The sequence below is a fragment of the Homo sapiens genome, chromosome 8, assembly GCF_000001405.40.
Source record: "Homo sapiens chromosome 8, GRCh38.p14 Primary Assembly".
NCBI classification, from domain to species: Eukaryota; Metazoa; Chordata; class Mammalia; order Primates; family Hominidae; genus Homo; species Homo sapiens.
Window position 1 is genome coordinate 21,626,048 of NC_000008.11, and position 20,392 is coordinate 21,646,439.

Here is a 20,392-nt window from a genome sequence, read left to right on the forward strand (position 1 = left end):
AGGGCTAGGAAGAAAAGAGAACAGGAGAGACGTGGGAGCAGAGAGTTTGGACGGGGTGATCAGGAGGGAATTCTCTAAGGAAACTGCATTGGAGCAGAGACTTGAACAACATGTGGAGATGAGCTACACGGATACCCAGGGAAAGAGCATTCCAGGCAGAGGGAACAGCAAATGTAAAAGCTCAAGTGTGAGATGGGTGATAAAAATGGGAGCTGCCAGCACATAGCTGTGTACCAAAAGGAACCGTCACCAGAGAGCAAGAAACTGGTGATTGAGAAGAGGCCACACAGACAGAGGGAAGTCCTGAAGGTCACAGAGCACCTTTGGGAGCTGGCCTTGGAGAGGGCCAGGGACCTTTCTCCAGGCTAATGGGAAGGAAGGAAGAGTGTAGGGTGCAGAGGCTGGCCGCCTCTCAGATTTGAAAGCAGAAGCCAGTAATGATTTCTGGGCCAAGGTTGGGGGTGGGGAACAATATTTGCTTTGAAAAGATAGTTTGGACCCTTTAGATGGAAGATTGGAGGAAAGGCAGAGGCCACAGCTCAAGAGAAAGGTAATGAGGTCCTGAGCTGAGGGCTGCAGGGGGTTATATAAGTTCCCGCTTGCTGCTGTAGCAAATTACCACACACTCGATGGCTTCAAACAACACAGATTTATTATCTTACAGTTCTGGGGGTCAGATGTCCAAAATGGGTCTCACAAGGCTGAAATCAAGGTGCCTGCAGAGCAGTGTTCCCTTCTGGGTGTTTTAAGAAAGAATCCACTTTCTTGCCTTTTTCAGCTTCTAGAGGCTGCCCACATTCCTTCACTTGTGGCTTGTGGCACCCTTCCAACTTCAAAGCCAGCAGGGTAGATCTTCTCCTGCCTCTCTCCTTCACATTTAAAGAAACCTTGTGATTACACTGGGTCCACTCGGATAACCCAAGATAATCTCTATTTTAAGGTGAGCTGGAACCTTCATTCCATCTGCAACCTTAATCTCCACCCTTGCCATGCAGCCAGTGTATTCACAGGCTCCAGGAATTAGGACACGGACATCTTCGGAAGGGCCATTATGTCACCCACCATAGGAATGGATCAAGAGCCTGTGCAAGGAAGTACAATAACTGAATTTAGCAAGGCTTAGCAAGGAGGGTGGCATCCCTGCCTGTTGGTGAGGGGTGGGCATTTGGGAATCAGACAGATTGGGTGCATGCCCACTAGAAGGCAAAGGGCAAGCATCCAGCCCTCTCCAGGTCTCAGGTTTCTCATCTGTTAAAGGAAGGTAGCAGCATCTACCTCACAGAGTTCCTCCAAGGATTAAAAATTAAATCCTGACACAACCTGCTACCAAGAGGAGATCAGTAAATAGTAACTATGGATATCATTGGCAACAAAGCTATTGGTAGTGTCAAGGGGCTGTTGGGATGAAGGGAAAGAATGCAAAAAAGCAACTTGGGTTACTCAACTGGGCCACTGGCTGAACAGAGTGAAAGAAGTCACTGAAGGAGAATCCAATAAGGAAAGGACAGCCAGAAAACAAGTGCAATTTTCCACATCTGGGTCTGGGCTTTCAAGGGACCCGCCGAGGAGCCATGTCACTTTGGGTGAGTTACCCTGGCTTTACTGCCTCACCCTTGCAGTCCTGCCTTGTAGGATAATGATAAAGATTAAACACAATGACCTTCGTCAGCAGAGTACAGCGCCTGGCACATAGCACACACACACTTAACAAACACCAATAGTGTGCACTATTATCCAGGAGGCAGTTCAATATTACCCCACCGTGGAGCTCAGGGAAAAGGTTTGAACTGGACCTGAGGAAATTGGAGAAGCACATGGACGCGGCCTGCAGTTGGACAATAACAGCCTAAAGTAGGCTTAGTGGCACTGCTGGCAGCAAGCCCCCACTCAGTCTGTCCCTGCAGCACAGACCACAGGCCACAACTCACCATGGGAACAGCAGGGACATGGAGGGGTGCACAGGGAGAGGGCCACCAGGACTTGCAGAGGACTCAGCCGGGGTCACCCAGGTGAGGCCAATGCCCCTTCTCTGGGCTTACACAGCCAGGATGCAGAAGCCGGCTGGACAACCCCAAGACACTGTCATTATGCCCTGCTTCCCTGTCTTCCCCAGAAGCCTGTTGGAAGGAGGAGCAGGAATTCAAGAGCAGCCTTAGGGTTTCATAAGACTGTGAGATGCTTCCAATCAGATAGAGAAAAGCTCTATTTTTTTCTGCAGGTCAATGACTTTTAATAATTCTCTACAGACTTAGACATCCAATTAAAACTCCTCAAGGGCAAACGCTGGGCCTCATTCATCTCCAGGTAGCAAGAACCCAGTACTGGGCTGCATTATTAGGGATTCAAAGGAAGAAAATGAGGAAGAGAAGAAGAGAAGGAAGGAGGGAGATAGGCTGGGGGAGAAGGAAGGAAGGAGGAAGGGAAGGACAATGAAAGAGAGGTAGGAAGATGGGAAGGGATACAATGAATGAAGACAAAAATTTTGTGGGGGTTTTTCTGAGCCTGGAGAAAGCATTTCAAGGCCCTTAACTGTTATAAATAAACAGCTCGGCACCTGTTCCCTCTGCCAACTGATCACAGGCATCTTGGTGTGACAGAACTGAGTGGCCAGGCCAGGGTCACACTGGAGGTTTTCCCGAGCCAGAGCTTAACCCAGGGTCTAAGTCCCCACCCACCAAGCCAGACCAGGCCTTGAGCCAAGCTGAGAAGTCCCCAGAGGCTTAGGCAGAGCTACAGAAGTGTGGAGAGGACAGCAGAGACCAGAACCCCCACAGAAGCCACAGGAAATGCCCCTGCCACTTCTCCGATCAGTGGCAGCACCATCCCCAAGGTCAGCAGCTGCAATAACCCATCATCTGGGTCCTGGAACCAGCCTGGGGCTTTGCAACTGCTATTTCTGCAAACCACTACTATTTATTCTCTAATTTATTTATATTGTGTTTATCATTATTATCATTACTGCAATTTTCAGTTTTCCTCATCCTCCTTTTGAAAATGATGCCACAGGGAAATCATTTTCCTTTAACCAGTTGGCCGGGTCCATGGAGACCCAGAACATGCCACTGAACTGTGCAGAAATGGATGATTCCTCCTTCTGACTGAAGACTCCAGCCACCTCCTGATCCCCACCCCTGATGTTCCTGTCTCCAGGCTGCCTGTCCCAGGGCGAAGCATGATGACATTCCAGGACTTTCTAAAGAGCTTCCACCCAGACTCAGAGTTCCCTCCCTGACCCTGCAGGCTTAAATCCTGTGATGTAAAGGAGCAAATACACCAACCCCCGTTTAGCACATGGAAAAACTGAGGCATTGGGCACTGCCTCTGCTTCCCTGAGCTGCATTGGGAAACAGCTTCTCCTCCTTTACTCCCTTCACACTCTGAGTCATCCTCCCTTTTCTCCTCACTCCCAAAGGCTCCCGGGTGGCACCCACACCTACTGTGGGATGGCCTCGTCTGGTGTCTCCAAACCTCTTGAAAAGTACACACAGAATTGGGTGTGTCAGCACGGTGTGTACAGCACGGTGGCTCACGCCTGTAATCCCAGCACTTTCAGAGACCAAGGCGGGCAGATCACCTGAGGTCAGGAGTTCGAGACCAGCCTGGCCAACATGGCAAAACCCCATCTCTACTAAAAATACAATAATTAGCCAAGCATGGTGGTGTGCGCCTGTAATCCCAGCCACATGGGAGGCTGAGGCAGGAGAATCTCTTGAACCCAGGAGGTGGAGGTTGCAGTGAGCCGAGATTGCACCACTGCACTCCAGTCTGGGCGACAGAGCAAGACTCCCCCTCTCAAGAAAAAAAAGAATTGGATGTGCTGCTCTGACTTTCCAAACAAGCTGGAAAGGGTTGGAACCTTTATCTCATCCTCTCCACGGAATGTGTGCCATCCTCTCACAGTGGCCACAGTCAGCCACCCCCAGGTGTGACCAGCCCTGGCAAGGCCCCCACAGGGCTGTGCTGGGGACCATGAATCTGGGCTGCCCTGATGGCAGTTGTATTAAAATGTACCTGCAAGATCTTAATTGAGGTGACTGAGTGATGGCACACAGAAACTAATACCACTGAAAGATTTTATTATTATTCCCAACTCCCCTAGAAACGGGAGGCATCACCAGCCACGGCCACGCAGGCAAGCACCTGAATCAGGCAGGAGGCAGAAGCCAGCACGGGGAAAGCAGAGGCCATGCCTCTATCACAAGGCTCTTGGGAAGACAAGGTGGGGCAGGGTGGGCAGGCCTCAGGCTGGCTCCTCTGAATAATGTCAGTGGGCTCTGAGTATAAGGGTGGTCCCTAGCTGCTTGGTACCTGACCCTGGAGTGCTTCAGGGTAGGGAAATATTGCTGGGTGGGGAAGAGTTAGATAAAGGAGATGATTAGGAGGATGGGCTCAGGAATGGCTGGTTGGGGCATGAAGGGTGTGTTCATAGGCAAGATGTTTACCCTGTCTAGGAATCAGCTGGCCCTGGGGGAAGCCATCTCTCCCCAGCTGACAAGGCCCCTGCAAGACGTCAAAACATCATAAAACACAGAAAATTTAAAAACATGAAGAATACAGCAGAGAGGGAAGGCGAGGACAGAGGACAGCCCTGACTCTTGTATCAACACAACCCAAACATAAGAAGTCAACCTTCCTCAGCCCCCAGCTGCCCCCACCCCAGGCAGAAAGCAGCCCTTTCACACCAGTTTTCCTTCTGAAGCCTCCCTACACTGTCGTTTCACTTTGGCCTCACCTGGCTTAGATAGGAGGGGGGCAGGCAGAGCAGAATGCAGGGAGATGGACACAGTCTGTCTGGGTGGCTTCATCCTGTACTCCCCATGGACCTTCCAAAAGCCAGACGTCCCCAGTCAAGAGTGTCTCACACACCATCTAGACACCATGAGTGCTTAAGGACACAAGAGTCCCTGTGGGGGGCCTGCCTCTGCCCTGGCACATCCTCATCTCCCCGGAAGTCCCACGCTGCCGTCAGGGGTCACATGTGAACAAGCCTCCAGACCTGGCTCACTACACACAGGGCCTTCTTCTCAGCAGCCTGGCGGGAGGGGCTGTCACAGCCACACATGTGAAAGCCGGCATGGCTTACGCACACGTGGCTCCAGGAATCCAGAGGCCCTACTGCCTGAGCGCCTTTATCTCTCTGTCCCCTGCCAGTTAATGCTGACAGTCCTCTTTAATTCTTCTTCCCTTTCACATCAAGTCAGGTTCAAATGCCCATCTCCCTTTATTCTTTATAAAATGTGATTCTTTTCTTTATGCTAAGAAGGTGTTGTATTTGAAGCAAAGCCACCTGGGGTGCAGCTCATCACCACAATTCTTTCAAAAGTCCCTAAGTCTCTCCAAGCCTCAACTTCCTCATTTGTAAAATGGGAATGGGCCAGGTGACGAGGCTCATGCCTGTAGTCCAGCACTTTTGGAGGCCAAGACGAGATGATCACTTGAGCCCAGGAGTCTGAGACCAGCCTAAGCAACATGGTGAAACCCTGTCTTTACCAAAAATACAAAAAATTCACTGGGAGTGGTGGTACACACCTGTAGTCTCCCAGGAGACTGAGGTGGGAGGATCACCTGAGCCTGGAAAGTCGAAGCTGCGGTGAGCTGGGATGTCATCACTGTACTCCAGTCAGGATGAGAGAGAGATCCTGTCCCTAAAATAAACACATAAAAATAAATAAAATGTGAATAATAATTCTACCCTGTGGGATTGATGTGATGATTCAGTGAGAGCATATGTGAAGTTCCTGGCACAGAGCTGATAACACACACAAAGGTAATGCTGGCCTGGATGCTCCTAAGCCCTTTGAAGTACCAGAGCTGAAGGGCCTTAGGGTTTGGGGAGAACACAGCTGGATCTCTGAGGACACCAATGGGCCTGCCCATGGAGGAAAGGCCTGGATAGGAAGGCTGGGACCAGAGGCACATGCTCCTCTTCCCAGTTCAGCTGAGGATGTTGCTACTACCTGGTCTTGCCCAAAGAGACCTCCCCTCAATGAGAGGCATCCACTCATGCTCACTGGATGGCTCTCTAACAACAGTTAGCCCAGACCCAAGCAGGGATCCCAAAACACTGGATAACCACCCAGGCATCGGGACTGAGGATGCATCATGTTTATGTGTGATACAACCCGACAGGGTAAGAATTAATAATTGTCTTTGGCTGGCGAATTGCACGTCAATAATGCAGAATGGATGATATAATTGCACAGTGTGCCTAACTATAAACTATAGTGATGATAATAATTGGATTAATTAACCTGGAAAACACTAAGCACAAAGGGATCTATGGTCACTAAACAGCTGCCACAGAACCTGGAGGCGGGGGAAAGGGAGACTGCCGGTCTGTGTCAGCAACAAGGAGCCTGTTGGCATGGTGGCTGCAGTAGTCCTCTCACAGGGATGGCATGTCTACTAACCATCGGTCCCTGGAGGAGCTGTTCTGGCCTCCTGGCTGAAGATGCCAAGAGCTGGGGGATCCCCAAGGTGGAGCCTCTCTCTTAAAAGATCCGGTGATACTGGTAGCAGAACTGGAGACTTGTCCAGAAATGAGCCAAGAAGGATGACTGCGCTGCTCATCTCTTTGTGTCACTGGCATTGTTTTGGTGCCCCAGCAAAGGCTAGAGACACAGGGACATGCTGCACATTCTGGTGATGAAAGAACCAGCTGCCTTTCCTTGCAAACGCCTCACAGCAGCAAAGATGGCTGATCTGGTGGTGACAACTAGCCCCTCCAAGCAAACGCTTTCCCTGGCTGGGTTGTCAGCACTGTCTTAGCACCATGATCTGCTCTCAGCCTGGCATTCAGGACACACTGAAGCCCACAACTTTTACCTCCAACCTCTTCCAGTCTCTTCAACACTCTAGTCACGCCAAGCAACAGGCAAAGGGGACCAGAAGTCCAGAGGGGCCCTGTTCCAAGTGGTCACGTTGGCTTCTCCTCTCCTTCAGGTCCCAACAATATCTCCTCCACCTTGTCCTCCTCAGGGAAGTCTCCATCTGGACAAGGGCAGCTGTCACAGAATTGATCTCTACACCCACTGCTCCAGCACTAGGGCTCTGCCACCTGGCGATGGGACTCAACAGCCTCATGTGCACTCAGCACGTTTCCCAGTTAGAGAGCCATCTCCTACAGGTAGGCACAGTATCTTCTGCTCCTTGAATAGTTTTGGCCACATCATAGGTTTTCATTAAACCCTTATTAAATGAATGAATTATAAATAAAAGGCCCTTAGTGGATTGCCCTCTATCTGCCGAGCAGTGTCACTTTCATTTAATCCTCACAACAACCCTGCAAAGTAGATATTATTATGCCTCTTTACAGATAAGGAACCGAGAAGCAAAGAAATTAATTAATCTGTTTAAGGTGCTACAGCTGGAAAATGGCAGGGCTGGAATGTGAGCGGAGATCTTCCTAATCCCACGGCACCTTTTTTCACTACATCTTGGTTGTGGCAAATAGAGTTTTACTTGCAATTTCAGTTTCTATAAACTAGGGATATGGTGTCTAACAACATAGACATTAGAATACGTTCTACTGCACCAAAAGTGTGGTGAGCCACAGAGATAATTATAGGAGGGTTGCAGATTGTCTCTTTCCAGAAAGTTCAAAAAAACCTTGCTATGGTTTCAGTGTTTCCCTCAAAGTTCATGTTGGAACTTAAGTTTCCTGGGGGAAACTTAATCCCCAATGCAACAGTATTGACAGGTAAGACCTTTAAGAGGTGGTTAGGCTGTAAGGGCTCTGCCAATGTATAGATTAATGTAACCCCAGGAGTAGATTAGTAATCACGTGAGTGGACTTGTTATAAAAATGAGTTCAGGCTGGGCATGGTGGTTAACACCTGTAATCCCAGAGCTTTGGAAGGTTGAGGCAGGAGGATCACTTGAGGCCAAGAGTTCAGGACCAGCCTCGGCAACATAGTGACACTCCATCTCTCCAAAATATAAAATAATTAGGTGGGGGTGGTGGCGCACACTTGTCATCCTAGCTACTCAGGAGGCTGAGGTGGGAGGATCACTGGAGACCAGGAGTTTGAGGCTGCAGTGAGCTATGATACATTGTCTATGCTCCAATCTGGGTAGCAGAGGGAGATTGTCTCTTAAAACAATAAATAAATAAAATGAGTTCAGCTCCCTCTTGTTCTGTCCCTGGCTCCCATGCTTTATTGCCCTTCTACCTTCTACCATGGGATGATGCAGCATGAAGGCCCTCGCCAGATGTCAGCACCATGCTCTTGGACTTTCCAGCCTCCAGAACTATGAGCCAAGTAAACTTCTATTCTTTATAAATTATCCAGTCTGTAATATTGTGTTATAGCAAGAGAAATGGACTAAGACAGAAAATTGGTACCAGGAATGGAATTGTTGCTATAACAAATACCTGAAAATGTGGAAGCAGCTTGGAACTGGGTGATGGGTAGAGGCTGGAAGATTTTGGAGAAGCATGCTAGAAAAAACATGGACTTCAGTAAACAAGCATTAAGCATGATTCTGGTGAGGGCTCAGAAGATGAGGAGCACTGTGGAGAAAGTCTGACTCTTCTTAGAGATTATTTAAGTGGTCCGAATCAGAATTTTGGGAGAAATATGAACAGTAAAAGCCATTCTGATGAGGTCTCACATGAAAATGAGAAACAGGTACTGAAAAATGGAGTAAAGGCTAGCCTTCCTATAAAGTTGCAAAGAACTTGGCTGAATTATGTCTATACCTGAGGGCTTTATAGAAAGCAGAATTTAAAAGTGATAGACTAGGGTATTTGTCAGAAGAAATTTCTAAGCAAAAAGCTGAAGGAGCTGCATGGCTACTTTAACTGCCTAAGTAAGATGCAAGAGGAAAGAAGTAACTTAAAGACAAACGTTATAATTAAAAGAGAAGCAGCATAGGAAGATTTCAAAAATTTCCAGCCTGATCAGATAAAGAATAAAAAACAGTGTTCAGGAGTACAAACTAAGGGTGTGGCAATTGACCATTTGCTAAGAAGATTAGTGTGGAGATAAGAGATCATCAAGACAATGGGAGAATGACCCTAGAAACATTTGAGAGATCTTTAAATCTGCTCCTCTCATCAAGGCTCAAAATTCAAGGTGGGCAGAATGATCTGGGGGGGTGTGTCAATGGTACCCTCCATAGACTTGCTGCCCAGAGTTGCCTTGGGTCACTGCTCCTCACATTGGATGCAGTGCTCCTTGGCTGCCCCAGCCATAACTCAAATGGGCCCAAGTGCTGCTCAACCCATCACTCCAGAAGGCACAAGCCATAAATTCTGGCGGCATTCACATGGTGCTAATTTTGCAGGCACACAGAATGCAAGAGTTGTGGTAGCGTGGCTTCTTCCACCTAGATTTTAAAAGATATTGTAGACTGCCTCACTCTCCATTTCCTCTGCTGTAAATTGAGATCAGTAGCACCTAGCTCATAGTGTCATTGCAGAAATGAAATGGAGTACCCATGTAAAGCTTGTCCTGGTTCACAGTAAGCACTCAATAATGCTAGCTATTATTATAACACGTTGAACTTCATTTAATTTAATACAACAATAAACTGATGTGATAGGTGTGATGGGCTAAAAGAAGTTAAGTATGATGGCCAAGGTCACACCCTGCTGTGTGACGAAGCTGGGAATCCATCCCATATCTACGTGGCTTATAAGAAATCAAGAGAGATCTGGGATTTCCTATACATGGAAACATTTGCAGGGACCTTGGGGAGGACTTAGGAAGTCTGGTAGAGGCAGGTAAAAGAAGGAGGCAGGAGAAATTAGAAGCATTTCCTGTGGGGGCCCAGAAGTCTACTCTAGAACTAAGGGGAGCTCAGAAAGCACTGGTCCCAATCCCCCACCTATGACAGACTAACAGACTGGAGAAGAAGAGAGCAGCAAAGGCAGCCAGTCCTGAAGTCACTGAAAAAACAGGGTGTGGAGCAGATGTCTTTTTACCTTACTGATGGGGTCCTAGCCTGCTGAGGACAGAAATCACTGGGCTAGTTCCAAGATAGCCTGGACCCCTCTCCCAGCAGCAAATTGTCTGCTTATCAGGAGTCTGTTGCCAATTATACTTATTATTGTTGATTATGCATCTAGATTAAATATTATGCAAAGCAATAAGCTGTAAATGCAATCACAAATGAAAAGAAGGCTGGTGATTCTAAGTACACCATATTGAATGCTTTGGAAAGGCTTGATAAAGGCAAGTCATTTAAAATGGTGTTAAATAATGTGTGGGTGAGACCACTAAAACAGACTGGGGCTTGGGGAGCAGGGTGGGAAAGTGGTGGGCATAATTATAAAAAATTTAGAATTCTGCGTTTATACTGCTTTGCATGGGTCTTGATGTTCTTATTTTACTTTAAAGAAACCCGGGATTTAAAGAAAACCAGAGTTCTTAGATAATGAATCACAGGCATGGTTGATCCAAGAACAATGAACGGAAACTCTGATTAGGAGACTCATACTCCAAGAATAGGCTTTGACCCCTCCCCAAAGGATTGGCAAATAAGTACACATGTATATATTTTAAACTAAGGCAAAATGCTTAAGATGCATGCATATCTTTTTTTGTAATTACAGTACATGCTTCAGCATTTTTAATTGGATTTGCCAGCTGCCAGTGCCCGCTATGTCAGAGAGGGGAGCATGGCCTGTACTTAAAAGAAGACAGTCAATAAGGTCCAAAGGAAAGGACCCATAAAAGCCTGTGCCACACCCCACCTGTGATTTTCCTGTAATTTGTGGCAACTAGGAAGCCTGGTGACTATGCCCAAGACCTAGCTGTCAGGGACAAGCAGGGATCCACCCTGAAGCCTTGTTGAGATGCGACCTTCCTGTAAGTACCACAGTTTTCATAGTATAGTCTCCCTTTAAAGAGTCAATGCACTAATCAAAGACCTGACCCTCTACTTAAGGCCTTTTAATGCCCTCGGCTTCCCACCTGGCACAGGCATAGTCAGGACATGTTGCCTTCTTTGGCATTCTCTGCTGATCCCAGGGCAGGGTCTTGTGCCAGGGAGCACAGGAACCCTCATTCTTCCATTTACCCTTTCACTTCACAAATATTTACTGAACATCTATTATGTTCAGGGATTACTTGTGAAATAAAGATGACAGTCTCTGCCCACTGTTAAGTAGAATAGACAGAAAAAGATTATAGGTACAATGCAATCAGCACTGCAATAGATGCTAAATGAATAGAGAAAGAAGAGACAGTAACCAGATACTGTATTGACTGGTTAATGCCAAGCTCACTGTTGGGGATGATCATATGCACGGGTGCACACACACATGCTCTCACACGCATACACACACTCACACACACCATTCCTCCTACCCTACAGCAGCTCTCAACAGTTCACAATGTACTCAGGAGCAGAGAACTCTAAACCTCCAAAAGAAAATGAGTTCAAAAACCCAGCTACGAGGTCAGGGAATGCCTCCCTCCCCTCTGGCACTGCAGTTACCTGGGAGGCAGGCAGAGCTGTCCTGCAAACCACCAAGAAGTAACCCTCCCCTGAGCTCCAGAGTAACTCCTTCAGCAACATGTATGGAGCAGATCAGCGAGGCTCCAGAAATTCCATCAGGAAATCCTCCACATAGTCAGCTCTCTAGAGGACGTGATTCTGACCCTGTTACTCCTCTGCTTGAAACATTTCAGTGATTCTGTCATCTACATGACTAATTAAGTCTTTGCCCCTTGACCTGGTATTGACCAGTCTCCATGATTTGTCAACTATTTCATCTCATCTCCAGCATTTTATCCTCTAATTCCAATCCACTTACACACAAAAAAAACACCACACACGTGCGCGCACACACACACACACACACACCTTGCTTTATGCATCCATGATTTTGCATATACTCTTCCCTCTGCAGGACTTGTTGGCAGCTTTTGTTTCTTTGTTTTATTTTCTGTGGCTTGGTCTTGGCTAACTCTTACTCTTCAAGATTCAACGCCAGCTGCATCTCTTCCTGGAGTCCTTCCTGAAGCCCCAGCCTCTCCAAGTGCTCACATAAAATCCAGTACCTATCCCGACCTTGTTATTCCTCAAATTATAATATCTCTTCATGTGCTTATCAAGCATGTATCAGTCTCTCTGGCCCCCACCAATATATAGCCCAGCACCCAGCACATGATCCATGCTCAATAAATATTGATCATCTGAGACAGGCAACCTAAAGCAAAACCCACCTCCTCTGTGTCATGAAATCTGCTACATAGGAAGGGCAGGTTTGTAGCTAATACAGTCAGAGCAAGCATGTAAGTGTAAGCATCCCCATGGAAGGTGTCCTGACCTACTGACCTGATACACTGTCTGCTTGTTAAATAGGTCCTAAGAGAATAGGAATAGATATATTATCCAAAATACATAAGGAACTCATACAACTTAGTTGCAAAACAAACAAACAAACAAACAAATTACCCAATTAAAAAGTGGGAACCTAAATAAACATTTCTCAAAAGAAGATATGCAAATGGCCAACAGGCATATGAAAAAAATGTTCAGCCTCGCTAATCATCAGGGAAATGCAAATCGAAACCACAATGAGATACCACCTGATACCCCTTAGAATGGCTAATCAAAAAGACAAAAGACAAGTGCTGTCAAGGATATGGAGAAAAAGAGTCTTTACCACTGTTGGTGAAAATGTAAATTAGTATAGCCATGATAGAAAACACTATGGAGGTGCCTCAAAAAATTAAAAACAGAACTGCCATATGAGCCAGCAATCCCACTACTGGGTATATATCCAAAGAAAATGAAATCAGTATGTCAAAGAGATATCTCCACTCCCATGTTCACTGCAGAACTATTTACAATAGCTAAGATATAGAAACAGTGTAAGTGTCCATTAATGGGTGCATAAAGAAAATGTGGTGTGTAAACACAGGGGAATATTATTTAACCTTTAAAAAGACGGAAATCCTGCCATTTGTGGCAACACACATGAACCTGGAAGATATTATGCTAAGTGAAGTACGCCAGACACAGCAAGACAGATACTGCATGATCTCGCTTACATGTGGGATCTAAAATAGTCAAACTAGGCTGGGCTTGGTGGTTCACGCCTGTAATCCCAGCACTTTGGGAGGCCGAGGTGGGCAGATCACTTGAGGTCAGGAGTTCAAGGCCAGCCTGGCCAACACTGTGAAACCCCGTCTCTACTAAAAATACAAAAATTAGCCAGGCATGGTGGTAGGCACCTGTAATACCAGCTACTCGGGAGACTGAGGCAGGAGAATTGCTTGAACACAGGAGGCGGAGGCTGCAGTGAGCCCAGACCACACCACTGCACTCCAGACTGAGTGACAGAGCGAGACTCCATCTCAAAAACAACAAAAAAAAGGCAAACTCATGGAAACACAGAGTAGAAAGGAGATGCCAGGGGACAGGAAGAGGGAGAAACAGGGAGGGGCTAGTCAAAGGTACAAAGTTTCAGTCATGCAAGATGTATAAGTTTTGAAGGTTTAATGGACAACGTGGTGCACTATACTTAACGATATTGTATTATATACTGAAATTTGCTAAGAAGGTAGATCTTAACTGTTCTCACTACCAAAAAAAAAAAAGAGAGAGAGAGAGATAATTATGTGAGGTGGTGTATGTTAATTAACTTGACAGAAGTGATCATTTCACTATGTATCTGCATATCAAAATATCAGGTTTCATACTTTAAATGTAGATAATTTTTATTTGTCTACTATTCCTCAATAAAGCTGAAAAAAAAAACAAAAAACAAAAAAAAGAGCTCAAAGTAGAGGACCCAGCCCAGGATACAGTTACCCGGGAGGCAGGACACCCAGCATTGAGCCGTTTCCACGTCCGTACTGGTGCTCTATTACATACCAACTCTGTACATAATCACCAAATTTCTGATTCAAAGTAAACCAATCCATTAGTCAAAAAAGGAGATTATTCACCATGAAGCAGAGGAGCTAAAAGGGGGCTTAGAGATCAGCTAGCAGCACCTGGGCATTTCACCACAAGGAACTGAAGGAATGCCTACAGCAAATTGTAATCAACCTGGTAGTGAGTGGAATGTAAGAGAAGTCTGTTCTCTTGAAAAGCTTATGAACAAGTTTGGGAGTTACCTGGTATATCGGAGAGAAAATGAACTTTACAGCCAAATAGACAGGGGTCCAAATCCCCGTTCTGCTGCTGCTAGCTGTGTGGCTTTCAGCATGTTACCAAATATCTTCTCAACATCTATTTCTTCACCTGCAAAATGGGATTGATACTATTTCACAGAGTCATGGCTAATTGAGATATTGTATAGATCACATACTTCTTCTATATTAAGTGCTCAGTAGTAGTTTCTTTGCAGGAACAAAACACTAGTATAAGGACTGTCATTAAGGGCTAAACTGTGATGCCCACTTCAAATACTGTTAGAGTTTAAAAAAAAAAAAAAGGAAATACCTGCTTGGGGCTTTACATAGAGCAGATTGATGGGGGAGTGAGTGGCTCAGACTGGAACAATTTAGAGTTGTTTCACACCTATCAAAACCATCTGAAACCTCTGCTGGGTCCTATAATCAAACCAACCATTCTATAGCCCATCTTTTCATACCTTGTTATGAGTTGAATTGCGTTTCACCAAAATTTATATGTTGAAATTCTAACACCTCCGGTATCTCAGAGTGGCATCTTATTTGGAAATAAGGTCGTTGCCAATGTAATTAGTTGAGATCACACTGGGATAAAGTAGACCCCTAATCCAATATGACTGGGATCTTATTTGGAAATAAGGTTGTTACAGATGTAATTAGTTAAGGTGAGCTCACGCTGGAGTAGGGTACAACCCTAATCCAATATGAAAAAAGGGAAATTTTGTAGAGACACACATACAGGGAGATGCCCTGTGAAGATTGGAGTGCTGCTGCCACAAGCCAAGAAACCACCAGGAGCTGGAGTAAGGCCTGGAACAGATCCTTCCCTAGCACCGTCAGAGGACGCATTGGGCTTGCGACATCTTGGTTCCAGCCCTCTAGCCTTCATAACTGGGAGACGATAAATTCCTGTGATTAAAGCCACTTGATCTGAGGTACTTTGTTATGGAAGCTCTAGGAAAATAGCAGACACCCCATCCCTGCTACTGCAATCGCCATCTTGCCCTGGGGAAGAACTGAATCCAAGCAGTGGGAACCAAGGCGAACTGCATTCACGCTCTTGGCTCAGGGACTCTGCGCTAAGCAAGTTCCCACCACCCTCTTCAAAGCCTATGGTTTTCTTTTCCCATCTGCCCAAGGGAGTGGATAAAACAGACTGCATTTCAGGTCCATGGATTCCTGAAGCTGGATACATGATCACAGAATCTCTGTTGGACAACCTCTTCAAGGTCTCCTAGACCTGTCTGGTTCTCAAGTCCACTACAGCTCCCAGCCATAGCTAACTTCTGCTTAAGCATAAATACTGGTAGGAAGTTTGTTACCTCTTTGAGAGTTCCATTAAAAAGTTTTTTTCAACTTTGATCAATGCAAAGTTTGTCCTACAAATAAGTTAGTTACAACTCTTTATTCCTATAACTTCCATCCCTTAGCCTGCTAGCTGTGCCCTCTGAGGCCCTGCAGAAAAGAAAATTAAAAAATCCAATCCCATTTTGTGGAAGCTCTTCAGGCACTTGGAGACTTGCATCTCATTCCTCTTAGTGTTCTCTTGTCTCAGCAAGATCTCCCTCTCTGCTCTTCTCCTCCCTGAAAGGGGGGTGGCCTTGCAGTCGTACATACCAAAAGGATTTTCTCAAGTCTGCACTGTTGCTTCCAGTTTGGGGTTTACAGTTGGGTTTGCAAGTTCTCGTGGCCTCCTGCCTCCACCTTTCTTCCCAGCCATGGCACACATTAGGTGGGGCCCTACTATAAGCCAGGTGCTGTGAAGCTAGGAGAACCAAGATTGAGCATGGTGTCACCTGGATGGCAAAGTCTTAGCAGGCAGGGTGACCCTGACTATTGGCACAATGTGGGAAAACCACTTTCCTCAAACAGGCAGTACATGAAAATTAAAAGGAGAGAAGAAAACGCAAACACCCTCCATCCTTTGGATGTCAGGCTCCAAAAAAGCTCAGTCAAGGAAAACATCATTTTCCCCACAAGAGGAAGAAAAAAAGAAAAGCTGAATTGACCTGCAAACAACCCCTGACCTCATTTGAAAAGACTCCTTTCTTTCAGCCAAGACCCAGGGTCCCTTCTCGGGGTGTAAATTCCCCGAAAAGCCAAATCTTTTCAGGACATGAAACTGTTGGCTGCCCTTTTGAGGACTGAGAGCAAAGAGCTCCGAAATTTATGCACTACATTAAGCGAGATGCCTTGGTATCCAACTAGGTTAAATTGCTTTCTATATTTAAATCGCCTGCTAGCTGGTTAGATGTGGGAGCCGCAGCTGTGAAATGGATAGTTCCAGCCAATAAACAGAAAGGCATAAATCCTAATGGATTAATCTGTTATAATTAGACAATTCTGCGTGACTTTGACAAGGAACCCAACTCTTGGGAGGGAGAAGAGAGGTGAGGCGGCCTTCAGGTGTCGGGTGCATGGCAAGAGAAAAGCAGGAGGTGAAAGGCGGGGTTTGAGGACCCAAGGAAGTGTTGCCAGGCTACAGACAGCATGGCCTGGTGGGGCTGAGATGGGTGGGCAGAGGACTAAGTGTTCCTCCTTGAAAAAGAGAGCCATGCAAATCCAGAAATTTGCATTCTAGATAAGAAAGGCAAGAAATAGCAGTAAACTTTCTCCTTTCTCTCTCATCTCCCTCCCCTTTGCCTGTAGAAGTTCTTTGCTTCTGCTTCTCAAAGGGGGCAAACCCTTTTGAGAAACTTTCTTGGGACTGCACATGGTGGCTCACACCTGTAATCTCAGCACTTTGGGAGGCCAAGGTGGGCAGATCACCCCAGGTCAGGAGTTTGAGACCAGCCTGGCCAACATGGCAAAACCTTGTCTCTACTTTAAAAAAAAAAAAAATTAGCTAGATGTCATGGTGTGTGATTTTAGTCCCAGCTATGCAGGAGGCTCAGGTACGAGAATCCAAGAATTGCTTGAACCAGGGAGGCAGGGGTTGCAGTGAGCCCAGATCACACCACTGCACTCCAGCCTGGACAGTAGAGTGAGACTCCATCACAAAAAAAAAGAAAAGAAAAGAAACTTTCTTGGGAGTGATAAGAACTTGGAGAAACCGACCCGAGGCACTTCATTATGCTCTTGTCTTCCTCTTGCAACTCCTTCCTCTCGTCAAGACCAGGAAACCCTAAGGAGAGTCACTGCCCAGCAGGGAGAGCCATCTCAGTCACCATCCCAAAGATGGCCGGTCCCCAGGGGCCTGAGTGAAAGGTGAGGAGCCGACACCCAGATTGAGGCAGGCTGGAGGTAGCTGGCAGGAAGTGCAGGTCTTTCTGGTCCAGGACAAGTACTGGGAAATTCCCCCAACCCAGATCAAGATAAGGAGGATGTCTAGAGTGTAAGAGGAGCTGGAGACACTTCTGGCACATTGGGGTCTAATCAAATTGACAAGTTAAGATCTTGTCCACCTGGAATTCCAGGATTGAAATTTGAGCCCCTGGATGCCCCCTGGAACCATCCTCTGTCTCGAGACAACCTCCAGGACCAGAATGACCTTTGCACCCAATGTGTCCAACTTATTACTCTTCCCTTCCAATCCAAGCCCTCAGCTCCAGTGAGACTGACCTCTTTGCTCCAGGAAGACTCAAAGAGAACGTAGCTAGGGAAAGAAACGGTGCAGGTAATGAAGGGTGAGAACCAGAGGATATCCAGGCTCAAAGTTTCAGGCTGTCTAGACAGAGCTTCTGAAGCCAAAACACACACATGCACGCGCGCACACACACACACACACACACACATCACACATACAAATGCTAAGAGGTACAACTCTGGCTTTATCTCAAGATAGAGAAGCCAAAAGGGTCGCCCAAACATTTAGATGATAGACTGTGGCCAGGGAATAAAGTGGGTTCTTGATTTGTGTTACGTGGCACTGAGAGCCAAGAGATCCTTGCTGGGCATCATATTGAGCCATGAGGCCTTGCATTCGCCAGCTGAACAGGCTGTGTACCCAATCAAGCCTCACACCTATGGTAATATTCTTCCACCATGAAAGAGTATCTGCTCTCCGCCTGTCTCCCCAGAGCTATGCAAAACCATAAATCCAAAGCCAGATAAATCATCAGAAATGAAGAGAGTGGAAATAAGACATGAGCAGCAAAAACAATCTAGAAAGAGAAGCATGGCTGCTATAGGCTTCCAGATCAGGCATGGGCAGCCTTGAGCCTCTGGGCAGAAGCCAGTGTGCCCCACTTAGGAGGCTCCACGTGGGGCTCCTGGGGAGAGAGGTAGGGTCAAAGGCAAGGACAGATGGGGACAAGCTGCTACCCAGCCTCTCTCTGCCTTCCCAGCACATCTGTTCCCTGTTCCCATCTTCCAGGTGAACCAGGCTGGCCCCCAACTCTGTATAAATAAAATAACAATCCCTATCAAAAGAAAACTTGAGTAAAGAGAGTATACCTGTGGGTGGGAAAGCTGAATCTTGTAAAGAAGTCAGTTCTTCACATAACACTTTATAAATTTAGTATAACTCCAATCAAAATGCCAGGGGAAACTTTTTTTCCTTAAAGTTTAACTAAGTGATTCAAATGGTCATCAGTAAAAATCAAGATACAATAATCTCCCAAAAGCGTTATTAAAATAAGGGTAATACAAGGAACTTGCTGTGACAAGTATTAAAACTGACTATAACTACAGCAATTAAATGGCATGGAGCTGATGAGAAAATTGATATGTAGTTCACAGACAAATTCAAGTATGTAAATGAATGACACATATATACAAATTTATTTTTTAAATAGAGGTCATCAGTAAGCACCCAGAAAAAGATTATTTGGGACATTTGGTTAAGTATGTGGTTAATAATTGAAAACAAATAATTTTCATCAAAGTAAACATCAGATGGATTAATTTTATCATTCATAAATCATATGAAATCATAAAATAAGTAAAATAGATGTAAGTAAATCATTAATTTGTTCTTGTCAATAATCCTACAGCAAAAAAAAAAAAAAACATTTTTTTCTAAGTCTTTGCCTATATCTTAAATTACTATTTGTAGTAGAAAATACTGTCTAAGCATAAGGGCAAGAAAGAGAAAGAAATTTTTCTACATGTAAAATTAAAGTCTGCGCATGTCAAAAACCCCATTGTAAACAAAAAGGCAAATTATACACGGGAATAAAATAAAATAAGGATATAATTAAACTATCCTTTTTATGTTATATGGAGAGATCAGACTTAGCAACAAAAAAAAATTAAAACAAAGAATATAGATTACTACATAAAAATACAAATGGCCATCAAACATTTTTAATAGTAATATCCAGTGCCATGAGATGATCATTCCCAATGATCTCCAATAGGAGTATAAATTGATTATAGCAGCAAACAAAAAAAAAAGTCCACACCCACTCAAATGTTCTGGAAAGTAATTTGACAATATGCAAGAAAAGTCTGACTTCTAGAAAGCTATTCTAAATAATCCAGGATATAGACAATGACTCATAAACAATGTTTTTTGCGTAGTACTATTGATAACAACAAAAAATTGAAAATAGTTCTGACATCCACTAACTGAGGACTGACTAAATAAAGTACAGTGCATCCACAAGGTAGACTATTCCAGTCATCTTCTATCAGTGGGATAGGAAAAGGATAAAAATATCATCTTAAATTTTAAAAAATTAGAACATAGGCTGGAATACTATTAAAATTGCACTTAAACATAGAAAAAGACTGGAAGAAATTTTTTAACATGCTTATAGTGGTTATCTCTGGGCAGTAGACGTAGAGTTATTTTAATTCTTGTCTTTACACCATTCTGTATTTTTCACATGTTCTATACTAAACACATTTCACTTTTATAATTAGAATTAAAAGCAATCAAGCTTGCTTTAAAAAAGATTAGTCCTCCAGTGTTCCAGGAAAAGAAAAAAGGGAGAGGTCCACCTCTCTAAAAAATGTTTCTGAAACAGCCCTGGTGCTTCCTCCTCCAGCAGTAAACAGAGTAACAGAGGCTTTAACTCGGGCTGACAGCTGGATTATTTATACTGGTGGCCACACCGCCGCTCGCTCACCTGAGGGGAGCTCCCTGCCGGATCTCCTCCTGCCCTAAATAAATCAGCTCCCACAAACCAAGCCTCACTGGTTGCACTTATCCATGTAAATTAGCTTGATTTGATATCCATAATTTCTCTCTTCAACGGCTACATTTGCAAGTACACACGCACCTGCTGCCTCTCCGATGTGGCCGGCACCCACTGAGCCATCACTGTCTCTTTCTAGTCTCACCTCAAACCGTCAGCCAGGCCTGGCTCTCAGGCTCCCACCTATGCCCTGATCAACACGGCTGCATTGCT

The 20,392-nt window shown here is 45.4% G+C and overlaps 1 long non-coding RNA gene across 1 annotated transcript; it reads right to left on the reverse strand.

Moving 5' to 3' along the window:
- Nucleotides 1–630: 630 nt before the first annotated feature.
- Nucleotides 631–15,433, reverse strand: LOC107986922 (uncharacterized). Its single transcript, XR_001745823.2, has 3 exons — nt 14,079–15,433; nt 5,530–5,645; nt 631–1,082 (listed from the first exon to the last, which is right to left on the reverse strand). It is a non-coding gene; the product is annotated as an uncharacterized LOC107986922 (long non-coding RNA).
- Nucleotides 15,434–20,392: the final 4,959 nt, after the last annotated feature.